We start from the raw sequence: 27,111 nt of genomic DNA on the forward strand, positions 1-27,111 counted from the left end.
CCTCCCCACCATCTTGAGAATGGGCTAGACTTAGTGGCTCCCTTCTAAAAAATAGAACAGAAAAAGGGAAAAATGAGCAGCTTTCCAGTGGAAAAAAAAATTGGAAAACACTAACCAATTAACATCACCAGTGATGTCATGTGCTTCTCATATATCCCTGATACGATGTGAGGAAAATAGCACTTCACCTTTGTGATTGGTCTCTCCAAAACACATAACCCTGGTCTAAACATAAGAAAAACCATTAGACAAACTTAGATTGTGGGACATTCCACAGGGTACACATCCGGCAATCTTCAAACATTTAAAGTTATGAAAAACTGAGAAGCTGTTCAGACCAGAGGAGACTGGGGAGATAGGAAGAATAAATACCATAGGGTATGTGGGGTTGGATCCTGGAGCAAAGAGAGGAAAACTGGTGAAATCCAAAGAGAGCTTTGCGTTTAGCTAATTGTAATCTACTAATATCATTTTCTTAGCTTTGTCAAATATACCATGGTAATGTATGGAGCGACAGCTAGAACTGTGTAAGGAGTGTATGGGAACTCTGTACTATCTTTGCAAGTTGTCTGTACATCTAAACTTATTCTGAAATAAAAAGGTTATTAAAAACAATATATTATAAACATTATGCCATAGAATTAACTATTTTCTATTACCTGATTGTTAATGGATATATAATATTCCATAGCATTCATTAAATGTGATCATGCCTAACACAGAGCTTGGCAGATAGTAAGTACTCACTAAAAGTTAGATTTTTTGTTATTGCTATTATAATTTTGATTGATATTTCGTTATAATTACTGAAGAATTCCCTCATCAAGTGCCCTCATACATGCTGTTTCTTTCTTGTTTTTATTTTCTTTATGCATGAGATGGTGTGACCCAGCTTTAAAATTTGCTGTACAATTTAATGGTGGGCATGTCTGAGCCTACTGGGAAGAAGACCAATATCATTATTGCTCTTATGTTCTATTTCAGTGTCATCCTAGTGGCTGTTTGATAGACCTCTGCCTCCAGATGGGTGTCATCATGTTTTTGAAGCAAATATGGAACAACTTCATGGAACTAGGATACCCGTGAGCACATTATTTTCAAACTTGCCTTATGTCTAGTTACAAAGAGGAAAGCTAGAGGTGGCGTGAGTAGTGCTTAAGAATTTGGTCTTGGTAATCAGACAAATGATGGCTCAATTCCTGTTCTGCTCCTTACTAAATGTCTGCCCATGTGTAAATTAAACCTTTCAGAGCCTGTTTTCACTAAGAATGTATCAACAATATATCTACCTCAAGAACAGCTGTAAGGGTTAAACAGAATAATGAATGTAGAGTAACTTGTTTAATGCATTAAGACACTTGTTACTAGTTTGAAAACATGATTGACATTACGGATTGTATATATAAAAATAATTTTCCGGGGTGTTTCTTTTGCTACCAGCAGACCAAGTTTGTTGTTTAATAAAGACAGCCTTCATTCCTCCCAAAAGAATAAAGCAAAGATCAAATCCTGGATGAGAAGCTTTGTTCTCTTTGTTACAACTAAGAAAAAAATGTTAGAACAGGGATGATTGTACTAACATCAAAACAATAGCATTCTATTTTCATTATTTTAGATGTTTTAGCTGCCTGTGAAATGCTTACAGAGGTGTTGAATGCTCACTTTCTCATATATTAAAATACACTTTCCTTTAAAATATGGCAAAATACTGGGTATTTAAAACAATGTAATATTGAAGCTTTGAGTCTAATCAACTAAAAACATGTCTATTTGAATAATTTCCTGACTATTGGGGAAGAACTGGTTAGTTGGTTGATGAAGTAAGTAGCTTGGGGTTATATATCAAATTATATTCTTTTTTTTTCTTGTGGTGGTACATATTTTATCAGAACATTCTTGAACAAAGATCTGGGGGTTGTAGAAGTGATATTAACCCTGCAATCTGCTATAAAGTATTGTGTTAATTTACAGGCAGCCTTAGAGTATAGGCTGTGGAATTACCCAGACCTGGTTTAAATTCCTTCTCTCTTCCTTGCTAAATTTGCTTAATATTTCCTTGACATCTCTTAGGCTTTTTTAGTCCATTTATAAAATAGGATATTTATGAAGATTAACTGAGATGACCCAGTGCTTTTTAAACCTTCATCATAAACGACAGAACCTTTTTGTGAAGAGAGTTTTATACAGACTTAATATTCAAAACAAATTTAAGCAAATCTCTCCTAAACAAAGAGAGAATAGAAGATGGAGGACTGGGGAGCCCAGTTCATTTGTGGTGTTCCTTCCTATTCTTGGGTCACTTCTTTAAAACTGGTTTTAGGAAACATTGTTTGAAAGAAATAGGAAATTAGATGTCAAGTGCCTAGCACAGAATGTAACATGCTGTGAGTACTCCATAAGTATCAACAAGATGATGTAGGGGTCATTGCAGTATAAAAAAGTTGTTTCTTTTTATTATCACTACTCATGGACTGCTACACTTGGTGCACTTTAGACAGGACATTTTCATTATGGCCTTGCGCTAGGGGTCAGTCTGGATCACATATATCAAATCCTAAGGGCACCATGGCACATCTTACCCTTCCCGATATCTAGGAAAAGGCTTTGTTAAAGAAAATTGAGCGGGAGTAGACCAGCCATTAAAGCAAAACTCTTGTAAACCACAATTGTCTTTCTTCAAGCAAAACTTTAAACAGAACCTAAATACATATAATAGAAATAAGCAGATCGCCTCAACTCTCACCTCCAGCCCCTTTTTCACCTTCATGAGGCTCTGGAGGCAACCTCCACTGCCTGACGTTTGTTCTCTGGTTGCTCCTCCAACTGCCACTTAGGTTCCGTGATTAAAATTGAGGGTTGGGTACTGTTCACTGAGTCCTGTAAAATTCACCTTGTCCTGGAGGTAATTTTCACTGACCTCTTAAATAATTCATTACCCAGAAGGCCACAATATGTGCATACCAGGATATTTCTGAGTCACATAATTCCAAGATTGTACTTGGGCTAAGAAAACAGTATTGTTACTTCCTTTTCAGGTGTGAGAAGCAGACTCACGGACACAGACTTATTGCCTAGTAATTATTGTTCACTACAATAGCAGAATATAATAATCACTAACACTTAGACTCCTCATGTTTCTAAACTCAGAGAGGTGAAGTGACTTGCTAAAAATCACACGGCTAATGCATTGCAGGATGGGAACTAGAACTTAGATCTTTTGAAATCCTACCCAAGGGTCAATTAGTTTATGTGAAACATGATTTTTTTCCTGTTCAGAGAGTATAGCTCTGAAGATTTTAGGTTATGAGCAATGAAAGGGTCAGACCTAATCACAGCAGGCAACAAAGAAGTTTAAGTATTTCTATAGGTGGGGAGAGGGGAAGGAATCATAGAAATGAATATTTGTTTAATCAATGTCAAGGACCATTTTAGTGTATAGAGCTTGAATTCCTAGATAATTATGTAGATATTTATAGGACCTAGGAGAGTTCTGGAAGGCTGGGGCCTACTCTCCTATGCTAAAGTTTTTCAAAAGATTTAAAAAAAATTTTTTAAGATATTTAAGCTTTCAAAATGTTTTTTTAACTTTTTTAAAAAACTTTTATAAAAGGTAAAACCAAATACCTCCAATTCCGAGGAGCTGGAATTGGTTTTACTCATTTCTTAATTCACTATACATTGTTAACCAGATGCTTGAATCAGAGCTCAAAAGTCCTTGGTCTGCTCTGTGATGTAGGTTGATCCAGAACTGGTGGTCACGACATAAAATCAAGCGGGGAATACATGATGCTTCCATACCTCAGTGGGAAAATGATTGGAATCTGCAGCCCATGAACCTTCATGGACTGATGGATGAGTACTTAGAAATGGGTAAGGAAAAAAAATCTGCAGGACTATTTGGCCTTCTTGATACAATTTTTCTACTTCACAGAAGCTTTGGTTCAACAGAGAAAATTATCTCTTTCCTTTCCAACCCCAAGCATTCTAAAACACGTCTGCACCTTCATCTCAAGGAGCTAGAGATACTAACTCTTGGCAGATTCACATGTTTTATTCTCTGAGAGTCATGCATTGACCAAAATGAAAGTTTTTCTCACAGTGGAACACCTATTTTATGAGCAAATATTTGAAGCAAACAAAATAATGCTGAACCAGTTTCTTTTCCTTTTTCTTTCTTTCTTTCTTTTTTTTTTTTTTTTTTTTTTTGAGACAGTGTCTTGCTTGTTCTGTCAACCAGGCTGGAGTGCAGTGGCACAATCTCGGCTCACTGCAACCTCCACCTCCTGGGTTCAAGCGATTCTCCTACCTCAGCCTCTCAAGTAGCTGGGATTACAGGTGCACATGACCATGCCTGGCTAATTTTGCATTTTTTAGTAGAGATGGAGTTTCACCATGTTGGCCAGGCTGGTCTCAACTCCTGACCTCAGGTGATCTGCTCACCTTGGCCTCCCAAAGTGCTGGGATTACAGGCCTGAGCCACCGCACCTGGCCAGCTGAACCAGTTTCTATGTTAAGAAACCTACCATTCTACTCACGCAAAGCAATAATTATTTTTCACAATAAACCTTTGCACAGACTCCGTCTGAATCTTAACTTCTGAATCTTAACTCCTCCTCCTTCTTCCTCCTCTTCTTTCTCTTTCTTCTTCTTTTTCCTCCTCCTCCTCCATCTCTTATTCTTTCTTCTTCCTCCTCCTTCTCCTCCTCCTCTGTTTTGTCTCCCATCTTCCCTCTATTTCTTCTTTTTCTCTCTCCTTCGTGCTGCATTATATAGAGGTGGAAAGCCCATAGACTTTCAATACATTCAGAACTTAATTTGAATAAAGGTTTCAACATTTTCTAGCTATCTACCCTTTAGCAAGTTTAATTAACATATATGAAATAAGGTTGTCCTAACTGTAAAATGAGATAAAGCTATCTACTTTGTAAGGATGTTGAAAGCATTAAAAGCAATTTATATAAAGCACCAAATTTGTCACAAAGGAAGTTTATATAGTAATTTCCTAATGCTCTTCTTTTGCAGTTTTGCAATTTGGTTTTACCACCATCTTTGTTGCGGCTTTTCCTCTAGCCCCTCTTTTGGCTTTGTTAAACAATATCATTGAAATCAGGCTGGATGCATACAAATTTGTCACTCAATGGCGGAGGCCTTTGCCAGCCCGAGCAACTGACATAGGTAAGATTCGGAAGTTAAATGATTTTTACGTTGCTAACACCAATAGGTTGCTATGGTTTGAGTGTGCCCCCAGATTCATATGTTGAAACTTAATTGCCAGTGTCATAGTATTAAGAGGCCTTTAAGAAGTGATTAAGCTGGCCGGGCGTGGTGGCTCACTCCTGTAATCCCAGCATTTTGGGAGGCTGAGGTGGGCAGTTCACCTGAGGTCAGGAATTCGAGACCAGCCTGACCAACATGGAGAAACCCTGTCTCTACTAAAAATACAAAATTAGCCGGGCATGGTGGTGGGTGCCTGTAATCCCAGCTACTCGGGAGGCTGAGACAGGAGAATCGTTTGAACACGGGAGGCAGAGGTTGCAGCCTGGGCAACCAGAGTGAAACTCCCTCTCAAAAAAAAAAAGAAGTGATTAAGCCATGATCCCTCATGAATGGGATTAGGACTCTTACAAAAAATAGCTTGAGGGAGTGACTTCATTCTCTTCCACTTCCCCGTGGTGTGAGGACACAGCATTCATCCCCTTTTCGCTTTCCTACCTTCTGCTATGTGAGGACACAGCGTTTGTCCCCTCCAGAGGATACAGCAGCAAGGTGCCATTTTGGAAGCTGGAAGCAAGGCCATCTCCAGATATTGAACCTGCTGGTGCATTTATCTAGGACTTCCTAGCCTCCAAAACAGCAAGGAACTTCTGTTCGCTATAAATTACCCAGTCTCAGGTATTTTATTATAGCAGCATAAAGGCACTAAGACAACATAAGCTGGTCCTACTTAGCACCATGTGGTTTTCTATTGTGAGGACACCCTTCCAACCGTAACAAAACTTAACATTTTTAGTTATGAAAATAATAAAAGGAACATTAATTTAGTTGAGATTAAGTTTACATCCAATATGCTATTTCATAAACTTGGTCATAACTAAAACGGATTTCATATATACCTTTCCATGTTAATAGACACAGCTCTGCCTCATTCTGTATGATTCCTGCACAAATTTCTATGATATGTATATGACATTTTTTAAAAATACTACTTTAGCCAGAGATGTTTAGATTGCTTCAGTACTTTGCTATTATAAACAATACTGAAGTGATCATATTCACATATAGTTTGCCAGATTATTTCCTCAGGATACATTTCTAGACTGGAGCACCTGTTCAAAGAGTATGCACATCTAAATTTTTGATATGTAATTTGGCAGCATGTTCTCCAGAAATGTTGTGCCAATTTACACTGTCATCATAAGTACATTTCTCTATTTCTGCAACAACTCCAAATATAAAAAGGATTTTTGGATTGTTGTTCTATCCTTGAGAATCTGAAGAGGAAAAAATTTGTTGTTCTATTTACTAGCATTTTTCTAACCGTGAGATTAAGTATATTTGTATTCCTTCTTTGCTAATTGTGTTTATGTTCTTTGGTCATTTGGTGGCCATTGAATCTGATTTGGTAATCTGGCCCTATATTTATTGGGAATACTAATCACACACACACACACACACACACACACACACACATACCATATATACATACTATAACTGTGTGTATAAATATATGTGTGTGTACATATATATATAAACAGAGATGCTGGTTTTCAATTTATTCACTTTATTTTGGATAAGGTTTTAAATTTTATATATAATCCAATTGACATATATCTCTCATAGTTATTATTTTTGACATTCTTAAAAAGGTACTTTAGAACTAATGATTTTTCACCTGTTGTATTTATTGTTGTTTCATTATTTAGATATGTCTGTTCTGTTTTGTGTATTTGCTTGTTGTTTGCTGTCATTTTATTATTTCATTTAAATTGTTGATGCATTTAATTGTTGTTCATTTAAATTGTTGATTTATCTGGAATATGTTGTTGATAAAATTGAGGTCCAGGATTTTTTTCCCCAATGCTTAATCAATTTTTCCAAAACCATTTATTAAATAATTCAATTTTTGAACTTATTTTGTTTCTATTATTTTATACTACATTCTCTATAAATTTAATTATATTTATATAATCCACTTTTCCCATTGAGCTACTTATTACATATACTGCTTTAATAAACTATAGTTTTTAAATAAAAACTCCAACTATATTGGAAAGCAGCTCCACATGTCTTTTTTTGGGAGGGGAGATTTTCTGGCTAATACTGCAAGGTTATCCTTTTAATTAATTTTACCCATTTATATATTATACTGTCATCAAAGTTTATTTAAAATATACTTATCTGTAAAGACTGAATACAATGCAATTTGAGTTCCCATATTTTAAGCAACTAAAATTATTGCTGTCCTTTAAATTTGGTGATGTTATTGATTTCATTATTTAAACAATATAGACACAGAAGGGGAACAACACACACTGGGGCCTTTTTGGGGGGCAGAGGGAGGGAGAGCATCAGGAAAAATAGCTAATGCATGCTGGGTTTAATACTTAGATAATGGGTTGATAGATGCAGCAAATCACCATGGCACACGTTTACCTCTATAACAAAACTGCACATCCTGCACATATACCCCAGAACCTAAAATTAAATAAAAATAATATAAGCACATTAAAGAAAATCTAGAAAATAAATTTTAAAAAACTTCCATTTCAGCTTTAGTGAGCATTTACTATACCTTCCCATAGATAGGTAAGTGTTTTCTAAACTACTGGATTTTACTTTGCTCAAGCCAGACAACACGAAAGTGTATAAAGAAAACAGTTAGTAATCTTTCACCTTTATATTTCTCTTCTACCTCAGGGAATCAGTGCTATCAATTTGGCATTTATCCTTTGCCATTGTTTTTCTTGCTCATAGAAATATACAAAAAATATATTTGTACACATATGTAGAATTCTGCATTGTTTTTTCTTCATGAACATTCTCCAGCTCAAAACATATTCATCTAATTTATTTTAATAGAATAGTAATATTCATAATACTGATACACCATAAATTTTATAACCATTTACTTATTTCCCACTATAAGCAGGAATAAACATACAGTCATAGCTATAAATATAAATATGTACATAGTTATTACATATGTAGTACATATCATATATATGTGTTTGCATAGTGTATCTGTAGTATAGATCCCAATAAGTAGGATTAAAATGTTTGCATATTTTAATTTAAGATGTATCAGATTAATTACCAAAAATGTTGTAACAAGTCACACTTCCAGTCACACTGTAAAGGAGTTTCTGTTTCCACAATCCCTAAATAGCATTAGATTTTGTAAGACTTTCAAATCTTTGTCAATCTATTGGATTTTTTTAAATCTTATTTTTGAGTGCCATTTCTCTGAATACTAGTGATTTAAACTTCTTTTTATCAGTTACTTTAATTCAGAAAGCAAATTGCTCATTTTATTGTCTATTTTTCTCTAGGTTTATCTTATTAACATCTTAGGATCTTTTTGTATACTAGGCATGTTAACCCTTTGTCGGTTTTTGTAAACCAAATAGTTTCTCCCAAAATATTTTCTTTTGCCTAAATATTGTGACTTTTGTACAAATAAATGTTTAATTTTAATGTACTCAAATATGATTTTTATCGGTTTCTTGTCTTATGATCTCCTCATCAAGTAAACTTTAACATGTTTTTAAATTATTATTTTTAATTACAAATCAATGTAGTACTTCATAAAAATTTTGAAATGCCAAGTGTGGGAGGAAAGAAAGTTGGCATGCTACATAATCACCTTTAGTGCTGTAGAGCATTTTTTCCAGGATATTTTTTTCTCATACATATTTTTAAAACTAAGTTTAATCCCACTGAAAACATTAGTTTTGACTATAATGAATAGTATACTAGTTCTATATACTATACATCTTCAAAAGTTTTTTGTGTGTATGTATTTTCATGATGCCAGATTGACCTCCTAGGAAGTAAAAAATGTCTACTAGAACTTTTCAGTTCTTACCACCAGACTAGTTTTGCTTTTTTTGTATTTTTACTTTAAAAAGACATTTGACAAAGATAAAGACAAACCCCAGAGTGAATGCAGATATTTCACAGTGTGCATAACCATGAAGAACTTGAAGATTCTTATGTACTATTTTTATTGCCTCAGCAAGTTCTGTAAATTAGACTTTGAAATATCTTGTGCACCTGTGCACCTGTGCCATGTCTCATTGTTGCAGACATGAACCTAGTCCTAATGGCATTTCAATTTTTGAATCTTTCTAGACGAGATATATCTTCTCTTTGTGGAAAAAGTGTATTCGATAGCTATAATGTCTGTATTGAGATAGTATAATAAGAAAGCACATAGTGGACAGAGCTGTGGTTCCAACATAAGTAAAACATTATTTCCAAAATAAGATTAATTACAGGGTTTTCATATTCTTCATTTTTGTTCACCATGATTAATCTTTCTCTTACCAGGTATCTGGCTTGGAATTCTCGAAGGAATCGGTATATTGGCTGTGATCACCAATGCATTTGTAATTGCTATTACTTCTGATTACATCCCACGTTTTGTTTATGAATACAAATATGGCCCCTGTGCAAATCATGTAGAACCAAGTGAAAAGTAAGGTTTAAATTTAAACATTTTCCTGATATGTTTTACATTTGTAATTAAAATAGGATCTTACTGGGAAGTTTTGTTCTGTGACCATTAAGGGTGGTGTTTCTAAGCATTGCATTTATAATGTGTTTATTAGGTGAAATCAAGCAAGGTAAAAAGGACAACAGTGTTATTATAGCAAATAATCTTAGAGTCCGTCTACTGTTTTTACTTGGAAATGCATCACAAGTATCAAAATATTAAAAATATATTTAGAAGTTACATTCTGTAAATAGAAGTTATCTTAGAATAACTTCTTACCATCTAGATGGTAAGAAGAATGCAATCTTCTTACCGTATAGATGGGGAAATTGCAACCTATACTGGCTAATCAAACTGCTGAATGGAGCAGTGCTAGTTTGTGGGAAGAAGCAGAACTTGAAGGAACTGTCAGCTCTGTGACTGGAGATTTTCAAAAGGAATTTACAACTAGGGGTTTTAAGGACGCAAAAAATCCTGTCTCCCATGTATTTTCTTTTAAAATTTAAGTCCACTCTTTGCAACATAGTTTCTCAGCCTCTGCACTATTGACGTTTTAGATCAGGTAATTCTGTCTTTTCATGGAGGGCAGAGGGCTGTCTTGTACATTGCAGGATGTTTAGCAGCACCCTTGGTCACCACCCGGTAGATACCAATAGTAACCTCACTATTCCCCAAGTTGTGGCAACCATAATTATCTCTGGGCATTGCCAGATGTCCTCTGGGGGACAAAATGACCCAGTTTAGAACCACTGCTTTAGGTGATACAGGTTTTCTCAGCTCTTTCCTTACTTAAATAAGGTATTGGGGGAAAAATGTAAGAGGGCATTGGATTTGAGGAACGGAGAGGAGTTGGAGGCACATGAAACAGAGCTGTAGCTGGAGATCAGCCTTAGGTGTGGAAGAAGCGACAGGAGAAGCTGCTTCTCCTGCTTCCTTCAGGAGTAGCTTTGGGTGTGCAGCTGATCCGGATGCAGGGCATGTGCCACAACAGGATGAGCCCTGGAATAGGAGGAAATGCACTGTTAACTCTGCTGAGGAACTGACGTTTTCTCAGATCAATGAAATACCTTTCTGGATATAAATGTCTCAGTTGTTTCAGATAGGTGATAAAGGGATGGATATTTCCTTTATGTATTGCATATCGTGGGGTCTTGTCAAAGGATTTTAACTTGAAGCCGGACATTTTAGGTTCGAGTTGTAACTTTGCCTTTTTTTAAAATTTTATAATAAATTGTCTACTTTATTTTAGAGATAATTGAAAATACAGAAGAATAAAAGGCCATAAAAACCCTAGCAAAAACAAAACGAGACTATAATTCCATTCCAGAAATACATATTACTAATATTTTGAACCCATCTTTTCAGATGTATTCTATTCATGTACACATTTTAAAGGTATATAACAGTAGAATCTGACTTTTTTGATAATCTGTTCTTAATTATTTCTGCCCTTAACAATATAGAATGAGTAAATATTAAACTTCTGTAGTTTTAAACTTAGACATGCTTATCCTGTATTCTGCTTTTTAGTAAAAGGCATGTCATTAATCTGGACCTAGTTGGTTCATAATAAGAAATGTTCGGCCGGGCGCGGTGGCTCACGCCTGTAATCCCAGCACTTTGGGAGGCCTAGGTGGGCAGATCGCAAGGTCAGGAATTCCAGACCAGGCTGGCCAACATGGTGAAACCCCCTCACTACTAAAAATACAAAAATTAGCTGGGCGTGGTGGCGGGCGCCTGTAATCCCAGCTACTCGGGTGGCTGAGGTAGGAGAATCGTTTGAACCCGAGAGGCGGAGGTTGCAGTGAGCCAAGACCGCGCCATTGCACTCCAGCCTGGACGACAGGGCAAAATTTCGTCTCAAAAAAAAAATATATATTCATAGCCCTTATGATTAAGAAGTGGTGTCTGAAATAAGATCTTATGAACTCTAAAGCACAATTTAAGTGTAAGAGGGATTTCGTATTAGTAGTTTTAAAAACCCTGTTTTTTCTTAGTTCAAAATAATCTAGAAGCAGATGTTAAGGATTTAAAATATACAGGCTTGTTAGGGAGCCCTCTTCCATAGCATTATTTGCCAGTGTCTTCACTGCCACCTAGTGGCAGGTGAAAATGAGATTGACTGGGTATCTAGCACTCTGCGTTTATGTAGATAGCGCCTGCCTTTCGTGTAGATAGCGCCCGACATCTCCATATTCATCGGTTAGGAATATAGACTAATTTCAAGCAAAGATGTGGAGGGCTTATGTTACAGTGACACCACACATTCAGAGGAGCACCCTGTTTATTTTCCATGTATGCTTAGCAGCTAAATTGGCATAGATTCATTCAGATTGGAAATTTTCGGAGCAAGGTGGCGGAAGAAGATGACAGTGGGAGGGGAGGATATTGGCAAAAGAGTAGGTGAAATGATAAATTATTTGTTCTAGTATGGACAACGAATGGAGTGAAGCCAGCATAGCTCTGTAATTAAGAATTCAAGGTTTAGAATCAGATAGATGCGTGTTTGAATCTAGGTTCCGAGGGCAGTCCTTCTTAACATGTGGTCTGCAGATCTCCTTCAGGGGTCCATGAAGTCGATGCGATTTTTATACTGAAATTAAGATATCATTTGCCCTTTTCATATATTGACATTTTCCCTAGTGATCCAAAAATATTGGTGAATAAAGTTTCTGGTAGTTTTGCATAACTAAAGGCAGTGGCACCAAACAGTATTGCTAGTGATTGTATTCCTCACCATAATTTGGCCAACATAAAAAATTTCAGTAAGAAGTTCAGTGTGTCCTCAGTGAAGCAGCAATAATTATTGATTTAATAAAATCTCCACTATTGAATAGATGCCTTTTAAATATTCTATGTGACAAAATAGGAAGTGTGCATAAACCACTTTCTGCTGAATGCCAAAGCGTAATGGTCGTCTCAAAGAAAAAAAATACTCATGTGATCGTTGGAGTTACAAACTGAGCAAACTTTTTTCCAACATGAAATAATGATTGCCAGACAAACTATGATTATTCAGACTTGGATACTTAGCAGTCTTTTACAGAATGCTCACTACTAGCTTGTCATTTTAAAGAAAATAATTGCTATATTTATTGCCATTGAAAAAGTTCAAGCACTGAAGTGAAAGTTAAGAATTTTGGATAACTTTTGTTTACCACTTTGAGCCTAAAAGCTTCCCAATTTTTTTTCTGATAAAAATAAATGGTGATATTAACAATTGTGAGTTTTTTCATGATCTATAGTAAAAAATATGTCAATATTTGGAAGAGCTGCATGGTTCCAGGAACTAATTTTCCAAATAACCCATATTTGATGTTATAAAATCATGAATGAATAAAAGATGAATTTAAAATGCAAGTTAGACTTAGGGATTTTAATGTAACAGAATGAAAACGTCATTGATATGGTTTAAAATTCCGCATTGCAACTAAACCTTAGAAAGTATCACATGTAGAGCTTTGACGGAATGTCAATGAAAAATATCCACAATTGTTTCAAATACTATTAAAATAGTCAATACATGAGACCAGATTTTCTACTTATTCTTCAACCAAAACAACATATTGCAACAGATTTTATATAGAACCAGATATGAGAACCTAGCCGTCTTCTGTTAAAACAGGCATTAAAGGGATTTGCAAACATTTAAAGTAATGTCATTCTCACTATGTTTTTCTTTTGGAAAATATAGGTATTTTTCTTTAAGAAACGGGTCATTTATATTAATTTACCTTAATATAAATTATTTTTGTTTTTAAATGAAGTAATAGACGTTTTCTAAATTTCTCAGCTTTAATTTCAAATATCTTAAAATATCAATAGATACACCTCTGTGAAAAAAAGAAAAAAGCTTCTTCAGATCCTCAATAATTTTTCTAAATGCAAAGGGGTTCTGAGGGCAAACGTTTTTGGAATTATAGGCCTACAGGAAGTTACTTAGTCCCTTTAAACTTCAATTCTTTAGTCATTATGATGGAGATAAAATATATATGTTTTAAGGTTGTTGTAAAAATTAATTTTAACAATTCTTTGAACTCACCTGGATCTCTAAAGCATTGGTCATAATAACTCATTCTTGCCCCTCCCCTTTCCTTTGATGTCCTCTTTTCCATCCTTAACCATCTTACAAACCAGTTGCCCAATCACCGTAACCACTTCCTTGGATACGCAGGTCCTTTCCCCCATTCACTTTGTTACGGAATTGCAGAATCACATCGTTGGTTCTCCAGACTCTTTGTCTACTCTGCACTGCACTCATGCAGCTGCATGCAAATGAAGGAAAATGAACAACCACACTGACTAGTTTCACTTTAAATTTGTATCACATACTTTGTGTGGACCTGACAAACGTATTTTATTTTTCTAGTCCATTTGCCCGTCTACTTTTTTAGAGAAGTTTGTCATAGCTTCTCCTTGCTCCTCAAGCCTTCTGAACCTCCTTTTTTATTCTCACTCTGACCTGATCTTGCTTCCTACTTAAGAAAAATTGAATCAATTAGAAAAGATCTTCCACAGACGTCTATTATCACATCTTCCTACCTACAGTATGTGTCCCATGTAGCCTGCCTCCTCCAAGTTCCTAGAAATAGAACCATCTGTGCTCCCATACTGAAGGCAAAATTCCTCCACTTGTGCCCTGGATCTCTTCTTCTTTCCCTATCTGAAACCATCATTCTAGTAATTCACCCCTTTTTCTCATACATTATGTATTTTGCCTCTATTTACATTTTCACATTAACATTGAAACATGCTTTTATTGTTCTAGTCAATAGATAAAGTCCTCCCTTGTCCTGGCTGCCTTCCAGTTACATCTTTATGTCTTTGCTCCCATTTATAACAGAAACTACATCCAAAGAGTTTTCTGTTCCTATGTTCTCCAATTCCCCTTCTCTTCTTCCCTTTTAAACTCTCTTCGATAATGTGTATGCCCCATGGCTCCGTTGAGATGTCATGATGACTTTCACATTGTCAAACCCACTGGTCAACTCCAGTTCTCACATCATTTGGCTTCTCAGCAGCATTTGATAATTGAGCATTCCCTTCTTAATGTACTTTATTCACTTGACTTTCAGAAAGACACATAATTTCTGTTTTCCTGCTACCCCACCAGCCACACCTGCCAAGTCATGTCTGCTAGTTCTCCTCATCTCTCAGCTTTAGTTTTGGAGTTCCCCAAGGGCTCAATCTATGGACTTATTATCTTCTGTATTTCTATTTATTTCCTTGACCATCTAATTCAGTTTCATGGATCGATCTACGCTCATACCTGAATTCTAGCCTTGAATATTCCACTGTCTGCTTGGCATCTCCTCTTACCTGTCTAATAAACATCTAAAACTTGCCATGCCCAAATTTAAAGTCCGAATTTCATCCAATCCTGCTTAACCTTCAGTCTTGCCCATATCAATTAACAGCAATTTCATATTTATAGTGGCTCAGGCCATGATCCTTGGCAATCAGCCTTGAATACTTTTTTTTTCCACGCCCCACACAACCCACTGGAAAACATGTTGACCCTGCTTTCTAAACATCCCCTTTTCATACCACTTCCACTGCCACCACCTAGCTCAAGACACTATCATCTCTCACCTGGATCCTTGAATAATCTTACTTAAAACTTAAGTTCATTCATGTAATTCATGTGCTCAAAACTCAGTAGTGTCTTCTTATTTCACTCTAAGAGCCAAAATCCTCCTTAAATTCATACAAAGGGAGCTTCTTCTCTGAGCTCGTTTTCCGGCACTATTTCCCTCCCTCCCTTTGTTTCCACCACCACCGCCCTCTCACAGTCCCCAGTACGTGCCAAGGTCTCTGCTTTTTCTGCTTGAAACTGTCCATCCCCAGATACCCTCACGGCTGCCTCTTTCAACTCCTAATCTTTCCTCGTGTTATCTTCCTAAAAAAGTCTACCCTAAGGACTCTACGTGAAATTTTAAACCCCTAATTCCAATTTCCCTTAGCCTAATCTATTATGTTGTGAGGTGGTCAAAACTTTACATTACTTTCTTTAAGAACATCCAATTTCTCCAGCACCATTTCTTGAAAAGACAATTATTTCACCAAGGATTGCAGTGCCATTTGTGTCATAAATCAGGTGAATGTGTATTTGTGGATCAGTTTTTGAACTATCTCCTCTTCATTGGTCTATTGCCTTTCCTTGTATGAAGATCACAGTGTCTTAATTACTGTAACTTTACAGTAAGTCAATATTATGTGCTGTAATCTTCTGTACATTTTCTTCTTCAACATCGACGTTGCTAATATAGATTCTTTACATTTACATATAAACTTTAGATTCAATTTATCAGTTACCATTTTTTAAAAATTTGAGAGAATTGACATTTTAACAACCAATCTTGAAACATGCTGACTCCATTTATTTAAGCGTTCGTTGAATTCTCTGAGACATGTGGTTTGGTTGTTTGTTTTTAGATCCCAGTGTAGAGGTCCTATATGGCATTTTTAGATTTATGCCCAGATATTTGGTATTTGTAATGTCACTATAAATAGTATTTATTTAAATTTTATTTTCTTTTGTTTGCTGCTAGTATATAGAAATATTTTTCTATATTGACCTTGTATCTATCTAGTGACCTTGATAAATTCACTCATTAATTCAAATGGTTTTTAGATTATTTTATATTTCCTATGTATATAACTATACCATATGTGAATAAAGTCATATTTATATATTGTTTCTTTATGTTAATTCCAGTTATGTCTTTTTCTTCTACTTGTGTAGGCAATGTTGAATAGAAATAGTTACAAGGGAAACGTTTGTCTTCTCCCTGGCTTCAGGAGAAAGTGTTCAACATATGAAGCATTTCACTGTTAAATATGATATTAGCTATATGTATTTATGTAGATATTCTTCATCACATTAAGATCCTACCAGATTTTTGGTTTGTTGAATAGAGTTTATTATGTCTCCAGTTGAATTTTATAAAACATTTGTTTATTTATTAATATGATCATATGATTTTCTTTTTGTTCTGTTAATGTAGTGAGTTCCACTGAGCGATTTTATATGATAGAAAAAACCTTGTATTGCGAGAATTAGCTCCACTTGGTCATGAGATTCATTTGTGGTCTATAGAAAATTTAAACTTATCTTTCTGCCCCCACTGCCTCAAAAGTTTGAGAGGCTGTGTGTTAGTGGCAGGCCCCCTCCTTCTTGCAGGAGGATTTGTAGAAGGCCTTTTTCTCTTAAGTGCTGTGACACTCTAGAAGATTTCATTCTGCCTTTTGAAAATCAAATCACTCCCACCCCCAGCTTTCCAGGCTGCCCAAGAACTTAGCAAATATCTCATGAGAAAACATCCAGGCATTTGGGGCTTCTGTACCTTCCCATCTGTCACATCAGCCCCATGCAATTGGTAAAATTCATTGGTTTCTATTGCCCTTGGTAGAGACACTCTGACTTGCTGAGCCTAATTCTTAGTATTCACCCAGATTTGACAAATGAATGCCTCCAGGAAAGGGAAAGAATAGGTGATTGCCAATTTCCCTAGGAAGGACTTTTCTCTCTCTGGAACATTCATGTAGTTCTTGTTTCCATACATCTTCAATGTCTTTAAAAACTTGATTTTTGTTACCGTAGGAATGCTGACTTAACAATATCCCATCTGGAAGAATTACTTCATTTTTATTTTCATAGCACTTACTGCATTTTAACATTCTATACAATCTACTTATTAATTATGTTTATTGTGTGCATCTCTCTCCCCTCTCCCACCCTGCTAGAATGTAAGCTACACAGGGATAGGGGTTTTTGCCTGTTTTGTTCACTGTTAAGTATCAAGCATCGATAATTTTTCCAGCAAATCATAGGTCTTGAATAAATATATATGTTTAATAAGTTAAGTAAAAAATAAGCAATGTTTATTAACTACTTAATTATAATTGAATAATATTATGTGCATGCATATTTATAAAACATATTTTATAGAGTTTTAATGCATAGAAAGTAATTAGCAAAATATCTAGTGTGTAGTAACTACTTAATAAACATAAACCAGATGAAAAGGCAAGATAGGAATTATTGGGAGAAAACGGCAGGGCAGGAATCTGTCTCATTAAGGTACAATTATGAGAGTTAGGGAATGGAATAAAAGAGCTTGGTTGCTAAAAGTTTATCATTAGAATGGAAAGAATAATACATTTGTAAAATCCTGGCATTTGTAATAAAATAATTAGGCTAGAAACGTATGAATCTTTGAATCACATGATATTTTTCTTTTCTCCCAGTTGCTTGAAGGGATATGTCAACAATAGCCTATCCTTCTTTGACCTGAGTGAGCTTGGTATGGGAAAATCTGGTTATTGCAGGTACTTATAATAGTTATCTTTCCTGCTTGCTTTCACCATTCCAAGTACTCCCCCCTGCATGTTAATGAGGACATTTAAACTGTTATTTTGGCATTTTGGCAAATCAAGAAAATTTGGGCCTCCACTCTTTGATCTCTATTTGTCATTCTCTTTGTTTTTGTGGATTTCAGGTACAGAGACTACAGAGGCCCGCCCTGGAGTTCCAAACCCTATGAGTTTACTTTACAATACTGGCATATCCTTGCTGCTAGATTGGCCTTCATTATTGTGTTTGAGGTTAGTCACAAGCTGAGATGAAAATTACTATAGATAAATGCTTTTCTAAATGATTTATCAGTTGCCTCTTTGAAATCAGTTCCTCAGACTTCCATAAAAACACTTAAGTAGGTCCCGTAAAAGGCTTTAATACAATGAAAGCATTATTACAAGTACAGAAAAGCAAGAGCTGAATAATGTAAGAGTGTACATTAATTTAAATACCAGGAAATCAGCGTTAATAAAAAAGCTACTGCACAGTTGAGCTGAAAACTTTTGAGCCTCCTACTTTTGAGCCTTTTAGTAACCAAGTTTAAAAAGGAAAGGATGATTTTCATCATCCAATAAAAGAATCCATATCGATTCATTGGGATGGAAAAAACTGATTTTCTGAACAATCAATTCCAATTACAGTTGATCACTTATATATTTGTGTAAGCAACACTGGATGGTTCAATAAATTGTGCTTGAGAACATTTTATTTAAAAATTCAGAGACTTTGATTATCAGATCCATACAATAATATCTGATTGTAATCCTGTGAAGAAATTTGGCAGAAGCTATTGTATTATTGCCTTGTTTAGCATACAATTATTTCAATACAGTGAATAATTTAGCACTGGGATATATTGAGTATCTACTCTCTGAGGTACCACTAAGGTCAATAAAAAGACTTTAAATGAATCTGTTTTATATGGCCACACCAATTAATTCAGAGAAAAGGTAGCTATGACTAAGACTTTTGGAACAAATATTTTTAAAGGTAATACACCTCTCAACTGATCTCCAAAAAGTACTTCAAATTTTTTAGTGAAGTATCCTTCATCTTTAAAATGAAATGCTTACCCCTAAGGGTATCATCGAGGACTGAAATTCTGTTATTTAACGACTTTGCACCTATATACATGTCTCCTGATGAAGTGAGAGTGTCTAATATAAGAGTTAAGGCATATTTCCAACCCGGTGATTAAAAAAACTTCTGTTGTGTTTTTATTTACACTTCTCCCCCCATCTTATTTTGGAGCTCAAATGAACAAAGTTAATAGAGTGCATGGATTCAAAGCAAACTGTCATCATTGATCCATGTAATTTCCTCACTATTTTTTTCTTCTTCTTTCACCACTGCTAATTCCATTACCCACCCATTCCAAAAACATCCACTCCCTTTTCATCCGTATAAATTCTTCCACATATTTACTTGCACATGTGTTTGTTTACAAAAAAAATACATAGTATTAATTTGAGTGTTCTTTTTCAAAATTACTTCAATGGTATTGTTTCATGAAACTTATTTTGTGCCTTCCCCATTTTACTGTTTTTAGATATATAGAGAGCTAGCCATGAGATTGATCCACGTTTAGAACATTTTTTCTGTCTTCCGTATGATATTTCATCAAATGTATTAATCCTTTGTCAGGTGGATAGTTTGGAAATATTTTCCCCATTCTATCAGTTGTCTATTCACTCTGTAGATGTTTTTTATTTGCCATGCAGGAACTTTTTAGCTCGATATGATCCCATTTGTCTATTTTTGATTTTATTGCCCATGCTTTTGAGTTCTTACCCCAAAAAAATCTCTGCCCAGGTCTATGTCCTAAAGCATTTCCCCAGTGTTTTTCTTCTAGTGGTTTCATAGTTTCAGGACTTACACTTGTCTTTAATCCATTTGGTAAGAGATAGGGGTCTAGTTTCATTCTCGTGCACATAGATATCCAATTTTCCCTCCACCATTTATTGAAGAGACTATCTTTTATTGTATTAAATATTTTCCCCTTAGAGCACCATTTAGAATGAGTTGAATAAACTTTTTAATTATAAAATACTTCTGCATTAAGTTCTAATAGTCAGTGTTATTAAAATTATACTAACTTGGCCAGGTGTGGTGGCTCACGCCTGTAATCCCAGAACTTTGGGAGGCCCAGGCAGGTGGATCACCTGAGGTCAGGAGTTCAAGAGCAAAGAGCAACATGGAGAAACCCCGTCTCTACTAAAAATACAAAATAGCCGGGTGCAGTGGCGCATGCCTGTAATCCCAGCTACTCAGGAGGTTGAGGCAGGATAATCACTTGAACCCAGGAGGCGGAGGTTGTGGTGAGCTGAGATCACACCATTGCACTGTAGCCTGGGCAACAAGAGTGAAACTCCGTCCAAAAAAAAAGCTATACTGAATTATTTTTTGCTCAGGGACTTGAAGCATATCCCTACTAATTTAATTATAGCAAATGTTTTGAATTTTATTCCTATACCCTTGAGGCACATTCCTGGATATTTCTGTGAATATCAAACATTTTATCAAGAAAGAAACTTCTGATTATTTGCTTTTATATGGAAAAATATGACCTTCCTTATTATGATCTACTTTGCAGTACAGTCTCTTGGGACACATATAATAAGCCCAGTTAAAGTACCTTGAATTCTTCATAGACTATTATCTACTAAGAATCCATTAGGAATGTATTATTTTCCACAGGTTATGCTAACTCTATTAGTATCATGTTTTTTCCTTTCTGAGAAATTGAAATATCTACTCTTCTTCATAGGAAAAACAGGATGCATTTATAATAACAGGAGGTAATATTTAAGCAGGGCTCACACTATGACAAGCAATCCTTGAGCCATACACACACACACACACACACATATATATATACACACATACACAAACATGTATATGTATATTGTGTATGTGTATTTGTGTGTGTATGTGTATATATATTCATTTAATACTTATGCCAACCTTTAAGAAGTACTACTATTATCACCACTTTAGGGATATAACACAGAATATAGGTGATTTGCCTGAGGTTAAAACAGCTAATAAGCATAGGATTCAGATTCAAGCAGCCTCATTCAACATGTATACTTCCTACCACAGACATACTACCTTTGAGTTTTATTCCTGCTTTTTTTTTTTAATGCATTACTTTTGTCAGTTCATTTTTCAAAATATCGGCCAGGAGCAGTGTCTCCCACCTGTAATCCCAGCACTTTGGGAGGCCAAGGTGGGAGAATAACTTGAGCCCAGGAGCTCGAGGCCAGTCTAGGCAATGTGGTGAGACCTCATATCTACAAATTTTTTAAAAAAAATTATCCAGGTGTAGTGGCAGGCAACTGTACTCCCAGCTACTTGGGAGTCTGAGGCAGGAGGATTGCTTAAGCCCAGGAGATGGAGGCTGGAGTCAGCTGTGTATATGCCACTGCACTCCATCCTGGGCAAAAGAATGAGATGCTGTCTCAAAGAAGTAATAATAAAATAAAAGTAATATGTTTTTTATCATAGAATTATTATGTAATAAAGGTAAAAATATTTAAAGCAGCTATGATGATATATGAACTTAATAGACATGAAAAATGCATTTTCTGAGTTTGAGTCTAATGCTAGCATAACAGGCAGACTGCATTCTATGTGGTTTACATGATATGTGTTATGATCTATTGGACATGGGTTCTCCCTGGATATGATCTTTCTCATCTGTGTGTAACAATTCATGTCGTAATAATATTTCATAATATGTAAAGATTTTATAGGAGTGAATTTAAGATTTATTCAGTGCTTATAAAGTGATATCAACATGTTGCAGCAATAAGAGGAAGTAATTCTTTGTTTTGTCCTAATACTTAAGGAAGAAAGCAACAGTAGTGTTTTCAATATAATTTTTGAAAATATTAATATTCTAAATGGTACATACTAAGTTCTGATGCTTGATTCAAGGCAAATGCAACATTGTTCATTGTTGTACTGTTTTATAATTAGCATTTCAGAATCTTTGAAAACTGTCCTTTTCACATTTAAATTTGCAGCACCTTGTTTTTGGGATTAAGTCATTCATCGCATACCTGATTCCAGACGTACCAAAGGGTCTACATGACCGAATACGACGAGAGAAGTACTTAGTTCAAGAAATGATGTATGAGGCTGAACTGGAACATTTGCAACAACAACGGAGAAAAAGTGGTCAGCCTGTTCACCATGAATGGCCTTAGTTGACACCTGTTACCCATTAGGGGTGATAACATTAATGGGAAGAAATGATGGCAACTTTGAATGCTAGGTGAAATCTAGGAGGAAGGCATACTTGGCAAACCACATGTATAATATGCTACTTGGAAATGTATCACAGCCATCTCTGGGATTTGAAATATCCAGACTTGTAGGGAAGAAAACAATGACTTGACGACCTTAAAAAGGGTTAGATTGACATTGCAGGAAGCCAGGATGTAATTCTCAGAACCAGTCTCAGGGAGATATATGCTTGGAGAACTCTGCCTTCCATCAACTGCAGTGTAATGGGAAAGAGGGTGGTGAGGTTTTGAAAGACAGATTTCCATGTAAATGTGCACAAGCCAGGCATGGCTTAAAATATCATGCAGTCTTCACTCACATACTAATTTGACTTTGGAAAGTATGGTTGAGTTCAGATACTTATAAGAAATGACTTAAACAAATCCTTGCCTTGGCTGCCAGAACTCTACATCCCTTCAGTTTACAGGTTGGTAGGAATTGCCCATGTCTCTTGCTGAGATTATGGATCTGTGCCACAGGGGATTTATGCTGCTTTACATTGACTATGCAGTTGAAGAGTTGCACATCACCTTTAGTAGTCAAACCAAAAATCTAAGATTCCAAAAAGAACAGCATTCATTGAAATAATATTCCATTGCATTGGCTACTTCAAGTCTCTTTTACCCCTGGCAGAGCCAGTTGCAGTGCAATTTTTTGTACTAAATGCCAATAAAGCCACATACTTATAAACTATGAATGGCTATTCTTATATAGTTTAGAACACAACTAATCCATACTTTATTGTGGAAGGCTGTTTTATAGTTTATTTAATTTTTTCTCTATGATTTATTACAACTCTCACGGAATATTAACTTGAAATGCTGTAAATACGTTGGTTTTCCTTGTCCCTTTGCACCTTGACAGTACGTAGTATACATTGTGGTTTATGCAGCTCTGACACCAGTTTTTGCTATTGTAATATGTTTATTCGGGAAAACTGAGGCCAGATGCTCTGCAACACTTACGCTTTTTCAACAATGTGCACTCTTACTCATGAACTAATGAAAATAATGCATGAATATAAATCTATATTATTTGCTAAAAAAAGAAAAAACATTTGTGTTTTAGTTTCTTTTTTCATGACTGAAGGGAGTTTTATGTTATTATTTCTTCCATAGTTTTGTTTTGGTTTATTTTTAACAACGCTCTAGAAACAAAGTCAAATTAATCACAAAAGACATAATTTTGCTTTGTTGTGGAATTTCTATTTCAACGTCAACTCTGTATCTATGAGTATGTCTGTTCCACAGACAGATGAGGCAGGAGTGATGGGGCACTCAAGAAAGTTCAGAGGAGGCATAAGCTATGGAGGTTGGAAAGGAAGAAAGAGAAGAGCTGAAGTAAATGTATGGTAGAAATTAAGACGTTTCTTTGCAAAACAAGGAAATCACACATATGCACACATACATATTTATGGTTACTATGATTGTTATTATTTGTCCAATCAAGCAAAGCACCATTATTTCTAACATATAAAAGACCAGATCAAACACAATGGAAATAAAGCTACTACATATATATGCCAGTATTTCTCTAGTAAGATTATGTTTCTCTTACTAGAAAACTATTTTCTAAATATTAACACTGAAAATGTTTTGTTAGCTTTTCCTTCTTTCTCTCCAGAAGAAACATGGATAGATGATAGCTGTTTCATTGTTTGTTTTTGTCAAGCATATTCACTTTCCTCCTTGTCCTCTGATTCTGAGCAAAGGGCCTCAGACTCTGAACTTCCCTCAAGTGCCGTTGTTATGTGAAACTCTTCCATTCAGATTCCAGAGAGGTTCTCATGCTCCCCCCCCTCCTTATTTGTAGCAATCGTAGCAACTAATTCCACTAAGTACAAGGGAGTTTTTTACACTCCTCCATTTTTATAGCATCTGCATTTCTTTTTCTTTGTTAGGTACATGTATACACCTGCCTGAGTATAAATACTCTCTCTACCTAATAATAACATCAACCAACATCTTTTCCAAATTAGGGCCACAGAACAGCAACATTTGTCTGACAGTAGTATAAAGAATAATGATAGCTCTATCCTTAAGAAGTATTTCCTTTCCTTTTTATATAGTCCCGTTAGGGTTTAAAACCATATTGATCAACTAGAAAGAAAAATATGAAAAGAGAAAAATATTTTAATTTAAAAATTGTAATACATTGATTTATAAAATGCCTTCTCTGATACTTTTGAAACAGATGTGAAAAACAGAAAAAGAAAAAATTGTCTGAAATGTTTATTTTGCAAAACAGTGCAATAGAATCTAGTTATGCCTTCATCACTGTTGACAGTAAATACTGACAGCCCCTTGCAGTGTGTTAGTTTTAGATCACTCTGTTTTAGTTGAGAGAAATGTTTTATATCATGGTTTTTATATGAATACAAATTATTTCTCAAAGATTTATAGCACACACTATTCTCAGGAATTCTGTATTACATGAATGCTGCTTATATATTTTCATATTCTAACTTGTCTTTTCAAGCAAATAACTAATATATATGTGCATGCAGTCTGCCTTGACAAGTTGTTCCAAGCTGAAGAGCTTTCACTGTACAATGTGTGGAAAATCACCATAGATCATGGCTGAAATAGTTTGTAATTGTCTGAGTCTGTGCACGTACTTTTAGATAAAATGCTGCTGAGTGACTGCATGATGAGATACAACTTCTGAATGCTGCACATTCTTCCAAAATGATCCTTAGCACAATCTATTGTATGATGGAATGAATAGAAAACTTTTTCACTCAATAAATTATTATTTGATATGGTATTTTCCCTATAATTTGCATGTTAAGTTTAATTCTGCTTGCTTTTTAAATATTAAATTGAAATTTGTTTTCTATGGGGAGGGGGTGTTGTTCATTCTTTAACTCTACAAGGCTAGCTTCTTATTCTTGCAGGCCATTACCGTACTCTTAAAAAGGTTTGACTTTCTTCTGATAAGATCATCATTTTCTTCAAGGCGTTTGCACATTATAAAGTGCTGGTGGGGAATCACACGTATCTAATGCTTTGTACTAGACACAGATAAGAGAAGAAGCTTGATTAGTTCTTGTGAGGGTTAACAATACTGTCATCACACATAAGCCCTTTCTCTTTTTCACATTTATGCTGGCTCCATCAATCACCATCAAAATCTCTTTAAGACCGGAATTTTAGCACAGATACAATGCATGCTAAGGAGGGAGGACATGCAGGAGCACCATAGCCAACTGTCAAAAAGAGGCTGCCAATTTGCCCATTTTTTTTTAATGATAGTCAAAATGGAAAATCCAGGTGGCCTGCAGAGTTGCTTAACTGATATGGCTTGATTGACTAGCCTGTCAAATGGGGGCAAGTTAATATAAGCCTAGGGTGTGTGTTGTGTGTGGGTGTGCATACACACACTTGCATCTTGCCATCCTTTGTATAAGAATCAGTGAGCAGTTACTGTCTTTGAAATATGCCCAACTCAGTCCTACTATAGTGACCAGATATTTCCACTCCATTTCCCCTGAAAATCACGGTATTAAAATGGACTCGGTATAGTTCTAGGTTTTATCCAGGGAATCAGTTAACATCTTACCTCATTCCTGGTATTCTTAGTGGCTCAGAGAGAACCTTTTAGGAGTGGCCTGAACAACCCAGCTTCTGATGAAAAGCCAAACATTTCCCTACAGGCATTTCTATTCCAAATGAAATATGACAACAATACATAGTCCAAAGAAGATATTAATTGGGCTTTAGCTTGAATCATTGATCAGCCCAGGCTTCTGCTAGCTAGGATTGATACCTTTGTAATGGTGATAAGTTATCTTCAGTTGAATTTGCCATCTGGCTTCATTTGAAAAAAACATACCCATGATCACATTTGATGGCTTTTTTGTTTTCTAGAGAACACAAATGTTACCCTCACTACATCCTAGCCATGTCCACATTAAGATATCTTTTTTAGGAAAGTGAAATGAAACAAACAGTTGGTAGAAAAAAGTTTCATATTTGGGACCAGTTCCAATATCTGGTACTATCAAAGTCTACCCTCAAACAGAAATCTATAACTAAGTCCAGTTTTACTGCTTTATGACTGTATCAGCGTGTGCTTCTGCAAAATTCTCTCTAGAAAAAGCCTCGTTCACGTGCAGCCAGCCCAAAGTGGAAGTCTTGATTACACTAGACAGTCAGTTATGTGGGCTCTGCTTTACATTTTTCCCTAAGAAGGAAAGAAATGAGATTTTCCGGTATAGACCTGCATTGACTTCCTCAGAGTGTTTTTTTTTTTTCATCTTAATTCTCTCTATGTGGTAAAAGCAATGTCTCTGCCCTCTTTGTTTTTCAGAAAGTAACACTTCTTATATTATTCGTTGAAAAACAAAACTTTATGAGATCTATTTAGATACTGCTCAAAAAATAATCGCCATGTAGGTGGCTAGCCCCATGTGCTACTCAAACTGCCTCAGTACCATTACAATCATTTTGAATTGCATGTTGATACATGAAATTCAACCCTACCAGTAAACTCTTCAGGCAAAATTAAGTATCTTTCCAACAAGTAATATGAACAGACTTTTCCACTGATCTTTACCCAGCGTATTTTTCTCTCTCTGGTGAGAAAAGAGAGATTGAGTGGCAGAAAAACCGGATGGCCAAGATAATTGTGGAAGCAATGTTTTGAAGATGATAAAGGCAATTTAGAGTGTTTTCTACCCATGCAAAAATGTCTACTTTACAGATCCTACTTCAGTATCTGCTATGCACACACCCTGCCTTCTTTC

The 27,111-nt window shown here is 35.6% G+C and overlaps 1 protein-coding gene across 7 annotated transcripts in view; it reads left to right on the top strand.

Moving 5' to 3' along the window:
- Positions 1-25,130, top strand: part of ANO3 (anoctamin 3) — a 474,482-nt gene extending 449,352 nt beyond the window's left edge. For all 7 annotated transcript variants that reach the window (NM_001313726.2, NM_031418.4, XM_047427399.1 and 4 more), the window contains 7 exons: positions 985-1,082; positions 3,737-3,870; positions 5,023-5,175; positions 9,550-9,697; positions 17,966-18,046; positions 18,217-18,322; positions 22,103-25,130. In NM_001313726.2, the coding sequence (NP_001300655.1) occupies positions 985-1,082; positions 3,737-3,870; positions 5,023-5,175; positions 9,550-9,697; positions 17,966-18,046; positions 18,217-18,322; positions 22,103-22,285 (903 nt within the window). In that variant the 3' untranslated portion in view covers positions 22,286-25,130. The remainder of the gene's footprint in view (positions 1-984; positions 1,083-3,736; positions 3,871-5,022; positions 5,176-9,549; positions 9,698-17,965; positions 18,047-18,216; positions 18,323-22,102) is intronic.

The sequence above is a fragment of the Homo sapiens genome, chromosome 11 (assembly GCF_000001405.40).
Source record: "Homo sapiens chromosome 11, GRCh38.p14 Primary Assembly".
Taxonomy (NCBI): domain Eukaryota; kingdom Metazoa; phylum Chordata; class Mammalia; order Primates; family Hominidae; genus Homo; species Homo sapiens.